The sequence below is a fragment of the Homo sapiens genome, chromosome 10, assembly GCF_000001405.40.
Source record: "Homo sapiens chromosome 10, GRCh38.p14 Primary Assembly".
Classification (NCBI taxonomy): domain Eukaryota; kingdom Metazoa; phylum Chordata; class Mammalia; order Primates; family Hominidae; genus Homo; species Homo sapiens.
In genome coordinates, this window is record NC_000010.11 from 77,130,312 (window position 1) to 77,150,888 (window position 20,577).

Consider the following 20,577-nt stretch of genomic DNA (forward strand, 5'->3'; position numbering starts at 1 on the left):
CTTTGCGTTAGATGATTTTGCCCAACAGTAGGTAATGTAAGTGTTCTGAGCATGTTTAAGATAGGGTAGGCTCAGCTGTGATGTTTGGTAGGTGAGGGGTATTAAATGCATTCTCAAACTTAAAATATTTTCAGTTTATGATGGGTTTGTGAGGATGTAACTCCATGGTTAAATTGAGAAGCATCTGTATTCTAATATCACTAAGATCATAGATGCCAAAATTCTGTATATAATACCAACATAAATTATTCATCAATGAATTAAAATGATAATCCAGAGCATTCTAGTTAAACATAGCAGATGGATCACAATGGTTTATGTCTGCCCCCTCTCAAAACTTCACTAAACTAATACAAATGTTGAGGGGGTAGGAAACAGCAGAATCCCACAAGAACAAAAAGAATGGAAGAGGAGATTACAACACAGAACAGACGAACACAAAATGTGGGTAGATACTCTGTTAGAAACTGACTTGGCATACATATATATGTATTTATTTATATTTATATAAACATATACATATATTTTCCATGTATATATTTCCATAATGAGAAAGAAAGACATATACACACACATATGTCTATCTCCACAATGATAAACAGAATATTAAAAATGTCTTTGGTCAATACATAAAGACTGAGGTTGATGGGGGGGTGGTTGGGATGCAGAGATCACAGTGAAGAAGAAAACAACCATCCAAAAGGTGAAATGAAGTGGCTGACCCTGGGAAGAAGGAGGCTGTGACAATAACACTGATTGACTGGGGTGCCAAACAGGAGTAGTCACTACATGGCAGCAAGTGCATACACTTGAGGTGTTAAAATAGAGCAATATCCTGAGTAAACTGTAACTCTTGGAAGAAACACACTGTCTCTACAGCTGTAAGACCAGTTACCGAATAGAAACACACAGTAGCATATCTCAGTACTCCCCAGACAAACTGCAACACACAAAGACAGCATTCACATATAGGCTAACAGAAGATCTCAAATGCAAAGATAAGCACAAAACAGGCCAAGCACGGTGGCTCATGCCCGTCATCTCAGAACTTTGGGAGGCTGAGCAAGACTCCATCTCCAAACAAAAAAACACTGTCAAGTACATCTACATATAACCACATGGATGAATCACACAGGCGTAACACTGAGAGAACAAGGCCTGACACAGAGTCATTCTATATAACCCAGTTATATGAAGTTCAAAACTGGGCAAAACTGATATATGGTCAGGAGAGTGGTTACCTTTGTGGGGTGTAGTGACTAGAAGGTTGCCAGGAGAAGGGACTAGGGGGTGACAGGCAATAATGACTGTTTCTTGAGCTGAGCGTTGGCTTCTCAAATGCATTCTCTTCGTGAAAATTTATCCAGCTGTTGCCAGGCACGGTGGCTCATGCCTGTAATCCTAGCACTTTGGGAGGCTGAGGCAGGCGGATCACTTGAGGTCAGGAGTTCGAGACCAGCCTGGCCAATATGATGAAACCCCATCTCTACTAAAAATTCAAAAATTAGCTGGGCATGGAGGCAGGCACCTGTAATCCCAGCTACTTGGGAGGCTGAGGCAGGAGAATCGCTTGAACCCGGGAGGCAGGGGTTGCAGTGAGCTGAGATCGCGCCACTGCACTCCAACCTGGGCAACAGAGCAAGACTCGGTCTCAAAAAAAAAAAAAAAAAAGAAAAGAAAAGGGAAGAAAAGAACTAAAGAATTGCCAAACATTTGAGGAAAGGCAACTTTCCTTCAAGAAATGCACATATTACACTTCAGGCCAACTGACCCTTAAGGATACAACATTAACAAAGCATTAAACAAAAAATGCTTTAGAAAAATATTTGAAAAATATAAAGAGTTGTGAAAAACTATCTCAACTCAAAAAATCAACTAAATATCTTAGCAATTAAAATTTTGAACATCAAAATCTTAAAAGGCCAGCTTAATAGAAGAATGGGCATAGCCACACAGCAAAGTAGAGGGCTGAACTATCACACAGCCATCTTCATACAAAGGGGCACAGGAATGAAAAGTGCAAAAGAAAAACTAAGAGACCCAGAAAACAGGAATAAAGTTTTCCACATCCATGTAATTGAGCTGCCAGAAGGAAAAAATGAAGGAAATAGAGAACAGGAAACATTTAAAATAACATTAAAGTGTCCTAGACCGAAAGAATGACCTGTATCCTCAGATTGGAAAGGTCTTTTAAGTGTCCAGCAGGTTAAATTTTTTTTTTTTTTTTTTTTGAGATGGAGTCTGGCACTGTTGCCCAGGCTGGAGTGCAGTGGCGCGATCTCGGCTCACTGCAAGCTCCGCCCCACGGCCAGCAGATTACATTTTCAAAGACCTAAATCCAAGCATATTGTGGATAAATTTTATAACATCAATGTGAAGAAATAAATCCCTTCAAAGCAACAAGAGTCAAATTATTGTCACAATTCTCCTGGCTTCACTGGTTGCAAGAAAACAAAAGAAGGATATCTTTACAATTCTCAGGACAGATTAATTTGAACCAAGTAATATATACTTAGCCAGTTGAAAGAAAAATAAATCCAAAAGAAGCAAGATACAAGAAGCAACATGGAAAAGATAAAAGTAATGGATTCATTTATGTGTTGACTGAGTATGTTTTAAATGAATAAATAATAACAATGATCCAAAATTAAAATCTCTGGAAATAAATGGAAGATGGAGGTGTGAAGGAGAGAGGGCAATGGGAAAAAGAAAGGTGTGCAGAAATTCTTGTCTTGATAGGATACAATCAATCATATATATTAACAGAAAAAAATTAAAGTATGTGTATCAAAACCTTAAGGATATAAATTCCATAGCCTAGAGAAAAAAAAAAGGACAAAGGAATTTAATCAAATGGAGAAAAGAAAAAAAGAACAAAAACTTCAGCCCATCCAATGAAAAGAAAAAAAAAATAAAAGGTATATTAATCAGAAAACATAGTTACAATAGCAAAAGAGTCCAAATATATTTGTAATCATAATAAAATTAAATTAAAATTACTTTCACCTATGGAAAGACAGAGATTCACATGATATGAAAACAACAACAATAATAAATTCCAGGCGCATGCTATTTAAAAGACATACACTGCAAACAAGACATACAGAAAAGTTAGAAATGAAAGAATGGAAATTATGTGCCTGGCAAATGCTGAGAAAAGAGGAACAAATAGAGCAATGACTATATCAAATAAAGTGGCAGCTACTGCAAAAAGTTATATAAAAATTATATATAAACATTATATTAAAAAGAATAAAAAGTAATATCTCATATTGATAAAAGAAACAATCCACAAAGAATGTGTAACAAAAAAAAACTTTATACACCTAAAAGTATTCCTTTGAGATAAATAAAGCAAATATGACAAGAATGCACAAATATAGGACATTTAAGTAGCATTTAATCCCTTGGGATATATTCGTATCTATATGTATCTGAATGGATGGGCAGAAAGACACACACATATATTAGTAAACTAGGAACACACATTCTTTAATAACAGCCATGAGCAGTCTCAAAAACTGACCACATATTAGGCCACAAAGAAATTTCATCAAAATCTAAAATGCAAAAATCATCTAAGTCACATTTACCACAAAGCAATAGAATAAGAAAGTAATAAGAGCATGGCAACAATGACTAAGCAGTAGAGAAATAGACTCTATTTTATCAGAAGAATTTTACAGACAATAAAGAGGTCATCACAAATCAAAAGGAAGACAGGCATCATGCAATGATGGACCTCATACCATAATGGAAATAAGTTTGAGATGAATTAAAAATTAAATATAGATAATAAGGGACAGAAAAATTGAGGAAAATATAGGTATATATTATTAGCCCTCTGAAAAGAAGAATTTCTAATTTCATGTGTAAAAGGAGTCATACAATCTTTGAAATACAGGCTCTGCCACCACCATAAAAACGTCAAAATTCTGCATGTTTAAAATCATAATAAACACAATATCCAATGAAAAAATAATCAAATATGATACAATAAGGATAAATTCTTTGTAATGTCAAAAGCATGTATGTAAAATACTTTATCATTAGTTGATAAGTAGGCAAAAATCAAACAGCTACATCATGAAGTAGATAATATAACTAGTGAATAATCATTAAATAAATTAATTAAATGAAACTATTTTATCTTAACTTGGTTCAAATAAAAAAAATGTGCACCATATACAAAAACCAACTCACAATGAATTAATGACTTAAGATCCAAAACTGTGAAACTACTAGAAGAAAGTATTGAGAAAGAGCCCCATGACAACGGTCAGGGCAATAATTTTTTGGAAATGACCCCTAAAACACAGGCAATAAAAGCAAAAATGGACAAAGAGGATTACATCAAACTAAAAAGCTTGGCCCAACAAAAGAAAGAATCAACCGAGTGAAGAGAGGCGGGGCGCAGTGGCTCACGCCTGTAATCCCAGCACTTTGGGAGGCCAAGGCAGGTGGATCACAAGATCAGGAGATCGAGACCATCCTGGCTAATACGGTGAAACCCCGTCTCTACTAAAAATATAAAAAATTAGCCGGGTGTGGTGGTGGGCACCTGTAGTCCCAGCTACTCGGCAGGCTGAGGCAGGAGAATGGCGTGAACCCGGGAGGTGGAGATTGCAGTGAGCTGAGATCATGCCACCGCACTCCAGCCTGGGAGACAGAGCAAGACTCTGTCTCAAAAAAAAAAAAAAAAAAAAAAAAAAAAAAAGGAAGAAAGAATCAACGGAGTGAAGAGACAACCTACAGAATGGGAGAAAAATATTTGAAAACTATACATCTGATAAGGGCTTAATATTCAAAATATATAGAGAACACATCTCAATAGCAAGAAAGCAAATAGCCCAATTAAGAAATGGGCAAAGGACCTGAATAGACATTTCGCAAAAGAAGAAATGCAAATAGCCAACAGTAAATGTTTAAAATGTTTGACATCACTATTTATCAGGGAAGTGCAAATTAAAACTACAATGAACTATCACTTCACATCTGTTAGAAGGGTTATTATCGAAAAGACAAAAGGTTAAGTGTTGGTGAGGATGTGGGAAAAAGGAACCCTTGCATACTGTTGATGGGAAGGTAAATTAGTACTATTTTCCATTATGGAAAAAGGTAAAAAGTTTCCACAAAAACCCAAAAATAGAACTACCATACAATCAAGCAACCTCACCACTGGGTATATATTCAGAGGAAATGAAATCAACGTGCTGAAGAGATGTCTGCACTCCCATGTTCTTTGCAGCACTATTCACAATAGCCAAGGTATGAAATCAACCGCAGTGTCCATCAACAGATGAATGAAGAAAATGTGATATATATACACAATGGCATATTATTCAGCCAAGAAAAGAATAAATCCTTTCATTTGCAACAATGTGGATGAACCTAAAGTTTATATTAAGTTAAATAAGCCATGCACAGAATGACAAACATCACGTGATCTCACTCATATAAAACAGCTGATCTCATAGAAAGAGGGGCTGGGGCGGTTGGAGGGAAGGGTGGTTGGGTAGATGTTGGTCAAAGGATACAAAATTTCAGTTAAATAAGAGAAATAAGTTTAAGATATCTACTGTATTACATGGTGACTATAGTTAATAACCATATAGTATTCTTGAAAAATGCTTTAAAAAATTAAAAGAAATGCAAATTAAACAAAAATAAGTAAGCACTGTATTTATTCTACTTAATAGCAACATATTTGAGCTTCACCTAGTGGAGATGACTCTACAATGAAATAGTCTTATAATTCCATTGTGGAATTATAAACTGATAAAACCTTTTCAGAAAGTAATTCAGCATTATTAATCAAAGTAATTCCATTTCTGGGAATATAGCCTAAGAAAATATAACAAAATATGGAAATATGCTACAGAAACAAAGATGCTCATTGCAAAATTGTTCATTAAGCAAGAAAAATAGAAAGCAGCTTAAAATCCAAAAATAGGTCTTACGTCTGATACATCTTCTTTATAGGATATTATATATGCTCAAAGATTGTAACAAGGAAAATTTTTGACATAATGTTAAGTTAAAGAAGTAGAATGTCGAAATTAAAATAGCGATTACCAGGAGCTGAGGGGAGAGGAAAAATTATTTGTTTAATGGGTTTAGAGTTTCAACTTTGCAAGATCAAAAAGTACTGGAGCTCTGTTTTGCAACAATAGGATATACTTAACATTACTGAACTGTACACTAAAAATAATTAAAATGGTAAATTTTATGTTATGTGTTTTTCACCACAATTTTTTAAAAATAGCAAATTGGAAATGCTGAAAAAAAAAAAAAAGAAGTAAAAGATGAAGTGCATGGTCCCTATGATAAAACTATGAAAACTATAGGTATGTGTAAAATGAAAAAGTAGAAGAAAAGCATAAAATGATGACAGTGGCCATGTTACAAAGGCAGACATTTTGGATTTCTTTAATATTCTTGAGTTTTTTAATTTTTTTGTAATATTTATATCAAAATTTCTATTTTTATGCATAATTACTTATTGCTGTAGTCATAAAGTCAGTGGCAAGTCAGGACTGGAATACAGGTTTTCCTGGCTCCGAGCCCTGTACTCACATGCAAGATTCAGTCACATGAGACCATTGGCTCCAGGTGAGGAGGACCCCCTGCCAGAGCTTTCCCTTCGAAACTTGCTGCCCAGGGCCTGAACAACTAGGTGAGGCTCCTCCTGAGAACTATTGCTGTGGAATTTTAGCAATGACCAGACAGATTAAGGGATCTTGAACTCCCTTCTCAGATAAAAGCAGAGTTACTGTACTGACAGAAATTGAGGGATAAACAGGTAAATGATAACTCATTCACTGCTTCAGGGTTCCTGTGATCCCCAGAGAGAAAAGACTCTGGAGATTCATACATGTGAGGTCTCGGGAGAGGACAAGACAGAAAACACAACAGCAAACACATCCAAGCCCATACCAGAAAGCCTGCCAGGGTTTTCCAATTTGCTATTTTCCATTCCCTTTCACTCCTTAATCTTTAAATCCAAAAAGCTGAAAGGTTCCAATAAACGTCTGTCGTTTCCAATCTCTGCAGCCCCACGCAAATCCTGAAGAGCAATTATTTTTGTGGTGTCTGACAAGGTCATTGTTATCTGGCCTTGCAGCTCAGAGGGATCAAACTGAGGGCAGGCATATCAGGGTAAACAGAGGATGCCCAGGAGCATGGGGAGGCTTCTTCAGGGTGGTCCCCTGCACCCTTCTGCCATCACAGGTCCCACCTCCCATCCCCAGCTTGGTCACTGTGAGGACCACCTGCTTCTTAGCCCCAGCACAGAGTGAATCTGAGCCTCTCCTTCCCAGCTGGAGAAAAAGGACTGTCTCGCTTCCTCTCAAATGCCCCTGGGCTTTTGTTCCCACAGTCAGAATGTGTGTTCTATAAACAGTTCTTGCTTGTCTGACCTTTTCACCATCCTTTCCTTTGGTAATTGTTCAGGTTGTTTTGCTCCCTACTTTTTTAAAAAAATTTTTTGAGACAGGGTCTTACTTTGTCACCCATGCTGGAGTGCAGTGGCACGATCACAGCTCACTACAGCCTCGACCTCCTGGGCTCAAGTGATCCTCCCGCCTCAGCCCCCCAAGTAGCCAGCCACCATGCCCAGCTAATTTTTTCTATTTTTTTAGTGACACAGTTTCACCATGTTGCCAATCCTGGCTCCCTACCTTAACCCAGTCCTGGTTCCTGTTCTGATAGATGCTCAACATCAGTTGATATTCAGACTGGGATTGTCGCCCATTCATTCATTCATTCATTCACCCACACACATGCACAGAGTCACTGCTTCCACCACCCCTTGTGGTTCCAGATGCTGCAGCACAGGGGTGAGGCTCCTGCTTCCAGGTCTTCTATTTGAATAGAGGAGCCAGTAAGTAGAGAAACACATTTTTTAAAAGTAAACAAATAGGACTTACTCACTTTACCTCTTTACTTTGTTTTAAAATTATTGAATTTTTTAAGAGACAGTGTCTCATGGTCACCCATCCTGGGGTGCATGATCATAGCTCACTGGAGTCTTGACCTCATGGGCTCAAATGATCCTCTCACCTCAGCCTCCCAACATGCTGGGATTATAGGCATAAGCCATTTTGCCTGGTCTGACTTTACATCTTAAATATATGTGAAATAACTTATCTTTTCCCTCTCCACTGCCAGAACCATGGTTCACACTGCTGTTACCTCCATCTGGACCAAGAGCCCCACACGGGTCTTCCTGCTTCACTTCTCTACCCCAGTCCCCCCAGGCCCCACCAGCATTCTCCAGAAAGCAGCCAGCATGGTCTTTTCAAATATCCATCAGATTACATTGCTCCCTGCCAAAAGCCATTACATGGCATCCATCTCACTAAAATTACTTTCAGATTCCTTATCTCGCTCTGGAAGGCTCTCCATGGTTTCTGCTCATTTCATCACCACTCTCCATGTCCTCACGCCCTGCACACAGTGTCTCTGCTCCAGAAACATTTCCCAGTTCGTCCTCAGCTCTGAGTCTTCCCTTCTGTTTCTTTTCTTGGGAATGTTCTTCCCCCAGATCATTGCAAGGTTGGCTAATGGAGGTCTTCTCTGACCACCCGATCTGGAGCCCAGTCCTTCGCCGCCATTATCCATTCTTCTTTATAGGGTTTACCACAATCTAAAATGATCTCATTTGCTTGTTCAGGTGCCTGCCTCCTGCCCGTTCCTCAGCAGACTATCTGCTCTATTGGGGCAGGTGTCTCACTCACTGGCTCACTACCAAGTGCACCCTCTTCTAGAACAGTGATGACTGGTACATAGTGAGTACTCACTACTGAAAATTAATAAATGCATTAATCCTTTCAAAGGAAAAGTAAGAAGGGTATTGGATACTAAGTTAAACCCATGGTTTTACTCAATTATTCAACGTTTTCTCAGGAAGTAGTGTATGTGCCCTTAGCTTAATAATTCCATCATTTGGTCTCTTCTCTCTAGTGGCTTTAATCCTGATTCTCTCCAAGGCCAGATGTTACAGTACAGAGCAGCTCTTCTCTGTGATGAAGGGAGAGGAAATATAACAATCTGGCCAGCTAATTCTAGGGTTATAGACACAGAAGCATGAATATTTAGATTCCAGGCATTTCAGCTGACAGAAACATTTTATATCAGTTCTAATGAAAAGGATTGACTAGGTTTCACTTATTGCTTGCCAACTGGAATTTTGTTAGGCACAATTACATAATGCAGAAGTATTTGAGCTGTGCCTACCCACATCAGAATCCTAAACTAGGTTTCAAAGGGACTACATTCCATTTTAAAGAAATTCCTAGTACTGCTAACTTTCCTGGAAATAAAAGCTATCCCTCCCTAAGACTGACATTTTTATGGCCAGAAATGTACATTTAATCTATTTGTTTTAAACTGTAATATATTATGGATGCCTAAATAAAGCCAAATGCCTATCAGAAAGCAGTTGAGAAAAGAAAATCTGCCTAGAAAACTATTCTTATGATCTCTGCTGGGTAAGAATAAAAAAGTACCACCCAAGACAGGCAAGACCACGCTCCCATGGTCAAATGTAAGGACAGAAAATGAGCCACAACTCGCACTGTAGCCCCTGAAAAAAAAATTATCGATAGGTCCAAATGCCTCTTCCAAAAATGCTGACTCACTGAAAATTATTGCCATTTAATAAATAGGAAGCAAGCTATTACATCGTTTGCCAAACTTTCTCCCACATTTCTGAAATATATTCTTTAATAGCTCAATAACATTCAGGAGCACTAGAGGCCAGTTAAATTCATCTAAAAAGGAAGGACGAGATTTCTGCCTCACCCAGCACATCTGCGTTGGGTGGGTATGCCAAGAAAACAGGAATCAAGGTGGCTATCACCTCTCCACTAGACAGTTCCCCAAATCCAGCCTAGACGGAAAGCACTTTTTTTCCCAGGCAGCCTCCAGGAATACGGAATACTTTTGGGAGGAGAAGAGCCATGGACGGGTGAGTCCTTACCCCAGGATGCACAAACACCACAGCAAGACACCAATGACTGCCGGAAGTTCGGCGGTTCCTCCTTCTCCGGAGCAGCAGGCCCAGACTTCACCCGGTAGCCATTATGGAACAGGTCCCCCAGGGACTTCTTGCGGCGCCTGCCGGGTCTGTAAAGCTCTGTGCCGGTTCTGCTGGATGGGTGGCGGTACACCAGAATCTTACTGGGGATCATGGTAGAAGGAGGGAGATGGGCTAGGCTTTCGGCTCCCTTCCATTCACTTCTTGCAGGAGTCAATGCTCTGGAAAGACCTGGAGGAGCCTGTGTTCCTCTGACCCGTGCTGCAAACAGGTCCTCCTGTCCAGCGCAGTGTGGGTCACCAGCATCTATGTCCTGGTGGAGCCAATAGACACTCTCTCCTCCCTCACCCTCCAGTCCCTCTTGCAAGAACCCCGGCATGCTCTGGGCACTGGATGCACGCAGCCACATCAGAAAGGCGGTTAAGAGGGGCGGGGGAAGCACTCTGATCCACGATGTCCTGCGAGCTGATCAATCAGCTTCACGCTGGAAATAACCATGTAAGCTCCTTTGGACATGGTTTAGGGGGATAGAAAGAGAAAAGGCTATAATTCCTCAAATCAAGTGGTATAGAATAGAGTGTGAGAGAGGCTGCAGTTTGGGGCCCACTAAGTCGTTTCTTTTATTTTAGTAATCCTGCTTAACAACTGAGGACTCATAAGGAGGATTCCCTTAGAGGATGTGATGCCCAACAAGAAAGAAAAACTGAATTGTCCTACTCCTCCTGTCGTGGCCACCTCCCACCACTAACATAACCCAAATACGCAAATCCTCTGCTAATCCTACATACAGGACTGAGGAAGAAGAGGGATTCTGGGCTATCCAGAGGAAGATGGGAGGAGACACTCATTAGAGCTCCTTGGCCCACCCCCTGCTTCTTTGTCCCATTGTTTTCAGCATCTTCTCTCATTACCAACCCCAGCCCCCTCTTAGTTCTCTGTTACAGGCTACATTATGGACCCCCATCCCTGCCAAAGTCGTAGGTTGAAGCCCAAACCCCAATGTGATGGTATTTGGAGATGAGGTACTTTAGGGAGTGATTAGGTTTAGACAAGATCATGAGGATAGGGCCCTCATGATGAGATTAGTGCCATTATAAGAAGAGAGACCAGAGAGTTTGCTCTTTCTCCCTCTCTGCCATGTCAGGACACAGTGAGAGGGCAGCCGCCTGCAAGCCAGAAAGAGAGCCCTCACCAGAACCTGACCATGCTGGAATGCTGATCTCAGATGTCCAGCTTTCAGAACTGTGAGAAAATAAATCTCTGTTATTTCAGCCACCCAGTTTTTGATATCTTGTTAAGGCAGCCCAGAGTGACTATGAAAGTCTCCCTTCCCAGGGTACTGAGTGTAAACAAAAATATGACACAGACAGAGAGAGGGGAAACATTAAAAATATAAACAGGAAAATATCCACATTCCACAAGTTGTTAGCTGAGGCTCCTCATAATTTAATCCCCACCTATTTTTTCAGACCTCTAGCAAGGCTAAAATTATTGGTAGAATTTTCAAAGCATAACATTTCTTCTCAATGTGGATTAGTTCATTCACCTGACCATGACGTATTGAGCATCTATTATGTGCCAAGCGTTTTGCTGGGTACTGGGTATTTGCTGATTAACAGGAACAATGCACAAGTCCAGCCTTGGTGGCATTTATAGTATAATCAGAGAGTGAAACAATATATCATAACTGTAATTAACAATTTGGTTAAAGTGCTGTAAAGAAAAACCCTAAGTAGGCCGGGCGCAGTGGCTCATGCCTGTAATCCCAGCACTTTGGGAGGCCGAGGCAGGCGGATCACAAGGTCAGGAGATCGAGACCATTCTGGCTAACACGGTGAAACCCTGTCTCTACTAAAAAATACAAAAAAAAATTAGCCGGGCGTGGTGGCAGGTGCCTGTAGTCCCAGCTACTCAGGAGGCTGAGGCAGGAGAATGGCATGAACCTGGGAGGTGGAGCTTGCAGTAAGCCAAGATAGTGCCACTGCACTCCAGCCTGGGTGACAGAGGGAGACTCCATTTAAAAAAAAAAAAAGAAAAGAAAAGAAAAAAAGAAAACAAAAAAGAAAAAGGAAAAACCCCAAGTAGTTATCTGAGTATGTGTATGTGTATGTTACATAAATGTGTATCTGAGTGAATGTGTATGGAAAATGTGACATACATACGCAAAAGGGCTTCACAATAATTCTATATCCTAATGATATAGTAGCAGACAGCCAGGTAAAAAAATTATGGTGATGGCAATTTTTTTAGGCCGAGGGAACAGCATGACGAATATCTTGAAGAGGGAAGTAGATGGCCTGGTCCTGACTTGAAAGAAACTCAATGTGTTTAAAAAGAAATTGGTGAGAAACTAACTCTCCAACACCTAAAGTTGTCTGGAAATGATAGACAGAACTACAGGTCCTACAAACACTAAGAGGATAATTTTAAAGTATTAGGAATAATATTATGTCTCCAAAACTTGACACCCTGATGAAATGAACAAATTCCTTTAAAAATACAATTTTCTCCAACTGACACAAGAAAAAATAGAAAATGTAAACAGCTACATATCTGTTAAATAAATGGAAACTTCAATGAAAAACATTCCCACAAAGAAAATTTCAGGTTCAGGCAGTTTCCACTGCAGAATTCTACCAAATATTTATGGTGGAAATAATACCAATATTACACAAACTCTTTCAGGGACTGGAGGAAAAGAGAACCCAACTTGATTTATAATGCCAGAATAATCATGACATTGAAACCTAATAAGAGTATTATGAAAAGAAAAAAAATTACAGAAAAATATATGTCATCAACATAGACACAACAATCCTTAAATAAATACTAGTCAAATGAATCCAGCAGTATATAAAAAGAATAATACTTTAGAATCGAGTAAATAGAGTTTATCCCATGAGTAAAAGATTGGTTTAAAAAATGAAAATTAATTAATGTAATTCACCACATTGAAAAATTAAAAGACAAATCATATGATCATTTTAATAGGCATCAAAAAATAATGAAACTATGTTGTGTTAAGATAATGTGTCGTGCCCCCCAAAAAGACAAGTTGATTAATGAAACAGAGTCCAGAAATAGACCCATATATATACAATCAATTGATTTACAACAAAAGCACCAATACAACTCAATGAGAAAAATAAAGTCATCGCCACAAATGGAAGGAAAAATGGATATCTACAAAGGGAAAGAAATCAGTCTCAACTCTTACCTAACACAATCTACAAAATTAGTTTGAGATGGATCACTGACTTCAATGTAAAAGCTAAATCTGAAGCCTCTATAAACAAACACAGCAGAGTGTCTTGAGGACACTCGGATAAGCAAAGGCTTCTTAGATAGGACACAAAAGGCACTCACATTTTTAAAAAGACTGATAAATTAAATATCAGTAAAATAAAAAACTTCTCATAAAAAGACAATAAATTAAAAGATAAGCCACAGATTAAGAGGAAACACTTGCAGTACATTTATATGACAAAGAACTTACAGAAATAAAAATTAAAACTACAACAAGATGGCACCACAAATCCATTAGAATGGCTAAAATTTAAAAGTTGACATTATCAAGTGTTGGTGAAGAAACAAAGCAGCTGGCACCCTCACACGTTGCTAGTAGAAGTGTAAAATGGTGTATCTTCCTTTGGAAAACTGGCAGTTTCTTGTAATGTTAAACATGCATCTATCCTATGACCCAGAGACTCAATTTCTAAGTATTTACCCAAGAAAAAAAAATATATGTCCACAAAATCATTTGTACAAGGATGTTCATAACAGCTTTATTCAAAATAAGCCAAAGTTGGAAACAACCTAATGGCCATCAACAGGGTGGTTTGATAAACAAATTGTGGTATATCCCATAATGGAATATTAGCAGCAATAAAATGGAAGAAATTATTAATATATACAACAATATATACAAATATCAAAAACCTTATTTTGAAGGAAAGGAGCTAGTTAGAAAAGTGAATACCCTGCATGATTCCATTCATACAAAAATTGAGAGCAGACAAGACTAATCTATAGTGATTGAAGCCAAGATAGTGATTTTTTTATGTTCAAGGGAGGAGAGAGCAGATATTGACAGAAATGAGCATAAAGAAACATTCCAGGATAGTAAAAATGTTCTCTATGTTGATATGGATGACAGACCATTTTACAGTGGTGCATATCTCTGTCAGAACTCACTGAATGCACCCTCAGGATCTATGCATTTTATTGCATGTATAATATACTTATTAAAAACATTGAGATGGGCTGCCATGTTAGATGGTATCTCCCTGTCAACAGAGATACTCAAACAGAGTCTGCTTGTACCAATTTAGGGAACACTAAAGTTTCACCTGATGCCTAAACAGAGATCATCTGCTGTAACCCTGTAAATTCCCTCCCAACTTCCAGTGGGCAGTATGGCATGAAACCCCTGCAACTCAGAGATGGCTGGTTTAATTGGAGAAGTGAAGGATTTGTATTCAGGCTCTGCCACCAGCAGCTGCACATCTGAGTAAGTTATGTAACTCCTAGCCTCATTTCCTCATCTCCGAAATAGGGATTATGACATCTACTTCACAGACGAACTATCCAGATTAAAGAAAACGATGTTTGCAAAGCTCTGCACAGGGTCTGACACTCAGCAAATTCTCCTCCAAAAATCTGCCAAAGCACTAGGGCCCAGTCAAACTGGTCTATATTCTGCCATCGAATGCCCCATCATCACTGGGCAATCTGGTCTCCTACTGTAAATAAAAACCCCACCTATCTCCATGGGGCACATCTGCCAGCCTCTTCCTAGGACCCTGTAGGTGTGGCAATAAATGTGGTCCCTGGAACCAGCAGCAGGGGATTTGGTTCCTGGCATCTCCACATACGAGCCACATGCTCTTGGAAGTTATTCCAACCCTGCCTCAAGTCTCTGACTTTTAAAATGGGAAACACTTTTCAAGATAAATCTGTTCATCACAAGAAAGGATTTCTTATAAATTTGAAATATTTAAAAGAGAATTCTATGCAAACGTATGCACACATACAAGTGAATGTGGGCCCATTTCTCTGGACATGTGTCTATTCCAAAAAAAACTGTCATAAACTGTATCCTCATTTTGCACTCCTCCCACCAGTGTGTCCCATGGTGCCACCTGGTATTGTCTGCCTGAAAGAATTCTAGGAGGGCTTCATTTGTCTCTGAAGTCATAGATCTTCATCTACCAATACTGGGAAAACTCCCTTGCTCCTCTTCCTCTGCATTAGGCTTGTTTTTCTGAGACAGAAGTGGTCAGAGAAAAAGGACACTGGAATCCATTCATTCATTTAAAAATATTGACCAAGAAATGAACTCAGACGAAATTGACCTCTTCAGTGAAGTCATATCTAATTCCCTCAACCCTGTACAAAGTAATAGTACATTTATTCAACAACATATTTTCATGGAGTACCTATTTAGAAAAGAGACGGAATCTGGGCCCAGTGTTATAGGATTCAAATCCCAGCTCTGCCATTAATTGGGAGTGAGCATTAGCAAGTTCCTTCAACTCAAAGTATCTCAGTTTCCCCAACTATAAAATGGGAACAGTAATAGTAACCTACCTCATGGGGTTATTGTGAGGAATGAATTAATATCTATAACGGTTAAAATTGTCCTTGGCACATAGGAAATGTTCAGTCAGTGCTTGCTATAATTATTACTAGGAGCCAGATACTGGGCTAACCATATTGGGGATACAAATGTGATTTGCTCTAAATCTATCCTCAAAAAATGTACAGTCTTGAGGAGCTGTTTACAATCTACATTTGTATTTAGCTAAGATAGGAAAGATGACTATCTACATAATTTTAGGGGACGATCCACCAGCCCCCAAAAGAAATTAGCCTTCTTCTCTTCCTTGTTTATTGATGCCTAAAATTCCCCCATAAGACAGCAGCATTACCCAGTAAGAAAAAACTGTGCCTTGGGTTCAAATGGATGTAAGTTTTGACCCTGGCTCTGCTCCTGATGCACTGAGAGACCCTGGCTGCTTATATGAAACCTGAATGTCTATGACTGCATGTAAAAAATAAAGATGAGAAGCTGGGCGCGGTGGCTCATGCCTGTAATCCCAGCACTTTGGGAGGCCAAGGCAGGCAGATAGGTTGAGGCCAGGAGTTTGAGACCAGCCTAGTCAACATGGCAAAACTTCGTCTCTTCTAAAAAATACAAAAATTAGCCAGGCGTGGTGGCCTGCACCTGTAGTCCCAGCTACTGGGGAGGCTGAAGCAGGAGAATCACTTGAACCCAGGAGGTGGAGGTTGCAGTGAGCGGAGATGGTGCCACTACACTCCAGCCTGGGTGACAGAGCAAGACTTCATCTCAAAAAAAAAAAAAAAAAAAAAAAAAAAAAGAAAGAAAGAAGGAAAGAAAAAAGATGAGAATTATGCCTCTCAGGGGCTGTGACAATAAATTGATCTACGTGTGTTTTAAAATGCCTTTCACACAGAATATGCTACATAATCACTCATTCCTGGTCTCCTCCAGAAGTCCCTGCACTTGGCCTCTCTCTCTCGGGTGTAATGGATTGGTCCCCATTGAAATACATTTCCTTTTCAGAGTCATTTATCCCTCAGTTAGAAAGAAGTATTGACCATGGGGAAGGGGGACTGTGAAGCCACCTGGGCATGGCAGAGGGGGCCAGGCACAGAGGAGGGAGCACAAAAGAACGAACAATGAAGCACATAGAGAAATAAAACCTAACTCGACTTGCAAGCCAGTGATGGCCCTATTTTTAGCTGACAAGTGAGTAATCTGATGTGTGTGACTTGAAACAGGGAACATAAACATCAAGGCTGAATCTATAACCAGCCACATATAACTTGTACTATAACTTATTCCCAGAATTCTAGACTGTTTGAATTAAGTGTCTGCAGGTCTCTTCTTCACGCACTTACTCTTATTAAGTTTGGGAACTAGAAGCCTGTGTCATTTGCACAGGTCTCAAGTTACAAGGGAAAAAGATGCTTTGCTTGGTCTCTGGTTTGACTATTCCAAAGAATCTTTCCTAATCTCCAATTCGTCTTTGTCTCCCACCCCACCAGCCTCCCTCCCTCCTTCCCTTCCCCCTGAAAGCTAACCATCAGAGGGGTGGAATAGCCTCTAATTCAGCCCATTCTTCCCTCATCCCTTTCCCTTTCATCATCAGCTAGCAGTGAAAGTCACCATCCTCTTGGACCTCCCATTTCTGAGGCATTGTCTGTCCCAGAACCCCATGCAGGACATTGGAGACAAGTGAATCTAACCTCGTCCAATCTCCCTCTTCTTCCCGTAGATAAAAACCTGAACTCAAAGAAGAGAACTGGAATAATCCTCCCTTATCCCACTTCCCATGGTGAGCCCCAGCTGGGACGCTGACACATGGCCCCAACTTTTCCTCCTGCCTGATGTCTGGACCCACAGGGGACAGATGGTGGTCCCTGGTCACTGAAGTACCCACAGGTTTGATTATTGAGACTTTTATCTCTGTTGACTACAGGGAGGACCTGAATCAGTTTACATGGTTAAAATAAAAGCGCCATATACAAGGATAAAGCAGGACAGGGCCCCCACCATCTAAAAGTAGAAGGGATGGGGATTGCCAGGCAGCACCTGCCACCACCAAGAAAAGACTGAGAAAGGGACACTTCAGGCACAACATGTAAGGAGGTGCTCCTTTTGGGACTGACCCTGCCTTTGCATAGCCCTGGGAATGAGCCACCCTCATGTTTGCACCCAGGCCTCTCTCTTGCCTCATCCTGCACCTGCCATGAGTTTACTACTGAGCTCACTTCTGAAATTGGCTCTGCATTGCCTGTCACCTATGGCAAGAGAGAAACAACTAGGTTATGACTATTGTGAACTGAGAAAACCTATAAAGCCAATTCAGAGATCAAATCTATCCTAAAATTAAATTCAAGCAGAATTTTTGTGCCAGCGGCTTTGAATAAAGACTGAAGAACACGGTGAGTTATATCTTCAATTACAGTTTACAAAGAACAGAGGTACTCCTTCCAAAAGGGGACTCTTGATTTAGCTCTCTGTAAGGACAGAAAGCATAACACTGAATCTTGGGTCAGCAAAAACATTTTCACAAGGGCCTCAGGTATCATGAGATTTAGCTCTGTTTAATTCTGATGCTCAACATTAATTTAAGGAAAATGAAGTACTTGTTTTGGGGGGGATTAATTTGCTACCAGGCACACCTCAGCTGTGTTTTATTCTGAAGCTCTAAATTAGCACCAGGATCAACCTGGATAATCTAAATCAGGGGTTGCCAATTTTTTTCTGTAAAGGGCCAGATCATAAATATTTTGGGCTTTGTAAGCTGCACAATCTCTATTGCAAGTGCTCAATGCGGCCATTGGAGTGAGAAAACTAGCCACAGATGATACAAAAATGAATGAGCTTGGCCTCGTTCCAGTAAAACTTTCCTTACAAAAATAGGTGATGGACCAGATGTAGCCTGTAGGCCATAGTTGGTCAACCTCTGATGTAGCTGACATCTTGAAATGAGGAAGGAATGTTTAATTTGAGAACAGGTACTTCTACATTTCACAAGGTAGAAATCTGTAAATAACAACATTTGGAAGTTCCTTCTGTTTCCTGCAACACTCACTTTAGAACCTAATATCATGCTATTTTTATTGCTCTGGCTTAATTCAGTTATATAGAAATCATTTCTATTCAAATAGACGATGAAATCCTTGAGGTCAAGGTCTCTGTCCAACTTCTTTGGGTATAATCCATCGTGCCTAGCACAGCTGGGAACTTTGCACTTGCTTAAAGTGTTTTCTTCCCTTTCTGAAGGACAGTGATTCACATCTCTGCTTTTGACATGCAAGGACTTGACGATCTATTTAACCTAAGGGGAGAAGAGTCTCTTTCAAAGAATGGATTGTCATCCCCTTCTCCCTGCCCCTGCCATGTACATTATGCTTCTAATCAGTCTGGAATAAAGCGATGTCATGGGCATAAACTAATTTCTTCCAATCCAAAACAAGTTAGCAAGTCTCATTTTGTAATTCTAAAGTCTTCAGCTCATGTATTTATTTCAACATTTTTTTCCTATAAATAAATGGCTGTGTGACTTGTCTCCTTCTTTGTGTTCATATCCCAATGTCCAGTGTAGAGTGGCCTTCACTAAATATGTGTAGAAGGAATGAGGAAATGAATGCAAGATGGGCTTAGCTCATAAACCCTTTGTTTTGTTAGAGACTTTTGCCAACTCTTTTAGGCAGTTACAATATTTTGATGGGCAAGACCTGTGCTGTTGGGCTGCCTGGTCAAACCCATGCATAGTGAAATAATCCGTCTCCAATCTCAGCCTGCATCCTAACCCCAATTTGTCCCTGAGTGCAAGGTCACTGATCTGAATTTGAATGGCAGGCTTTGTTGACCTAACAACTCTGTTAGGCTCACCCATTTCTGCATACTACTGGTGAGTGACAGAGGATGGACACTGAAATCTCCATCTTTTCATAGAACCCATGCAAGAGGCACAAAACCATCTGCTTAGTGGTCATGTGGCAGCAGACAGTATCTCAGAAGTCCTCGCAGCATATGACTTCACTGATGAAGATGGATCACACTTGAGCAGGGATTCTTGATCTCTGCAAAACAGCTCATACACAACAGGAACAATCTCACAGATAAGAAAAACTCCAGAAGTTGGTCTCGGGCTATGAAAATTTCTGCCACAATATGATTTATATGAAAATAAATAAAGTGGGTCTACTACTTTATCATTAGCAATAAGTGGATTCTTTCTTCCTGCCACAGACAAACTGAGGATGTAAATGAACACCATACTCGCATTGTTGCTTATGCTGTTGTTCTTCACCCACTGCCTGAGGTGTAGGTTTGCAAATAAAATCAAACCATCATTATTCTGGACTGATTATCCAATTAGAGAATGAAATAGGCCAGCCCTGTCTTCCTTCTTCTTCCATCAAATGCCATTCTTGTAGCCATTTCACTGACAACATGAGGGGCCAACAGAAGAAATAAACAGGCATAAATTTCAAACCCAGGAAATTTATGTGAGCAAAGGGAAAGAATCCAGATATATAAAATGAATTAATCATCAATAAGTCACCACATCCCTATTACATGGTAAGTTCTTTTCTGGGAGCTGTTAGGGCCAGAAAGGGACTGTAAGACACAGTCCCTGCTTTAAAGAAGTACAAACAATCACCAAAAATAAAAGCAAAACTGAAAAACAGCAAATAAATAATCATTTATCAGAACCAACTATGGACTATGGATAGTTTAAAAGTGCTGAGAGCATAGCCCACATGGCAGAAGTGCATAAATAATGCAAAACCTTACATTGGCTGACAATTTAAACTTCCCTTCATGATCATTCTTCTGTCAGAACCGCTGAGAGAGATAAAGAAGATAATAATAACAAAAGAACTTCAAGTTTCTGGTGATTCTAAGTAGGTTCTAGTTTCAGGAGTATTCCAACACACTATGTTACCTTAGACAAGTCATGTTCTCTCTTTGTGATTAGGTTTCTCATCAAAAGGAA

General features: G+C 39.7%; 1 protein-coding gene and 1 long non-coding RNA gene across 57 annotated transcripts in view; one reads left to right on the forward strand and one right to left on the reverse strand.

The window, feature by feature from the left end:
* Window positions 1–20,577, reverse strand: part of KCNMA1 (potassium calcium-activated channel subfamily M alpha 1) — a 768,207-nt gene that overhangs the window by 260,710 nt on the left and 486,920 nt on the right. The gene's annotated exons all lie outside the window — the stretch shown is intronic.
* On the forward strand, window positions 10,520–19,789 carry KCNMA1-AS2 (KCNMA1 antisense RNA 2). The gene is made up of 3 exons (NR_120654.1): window positions 10,520–10,537; window positions 17,341–17,507; window positions 19,530–19,789. It is a non-coding gene; the product is annotated as a KCNMA1 antisense RNA 2 (long non-coding RNA).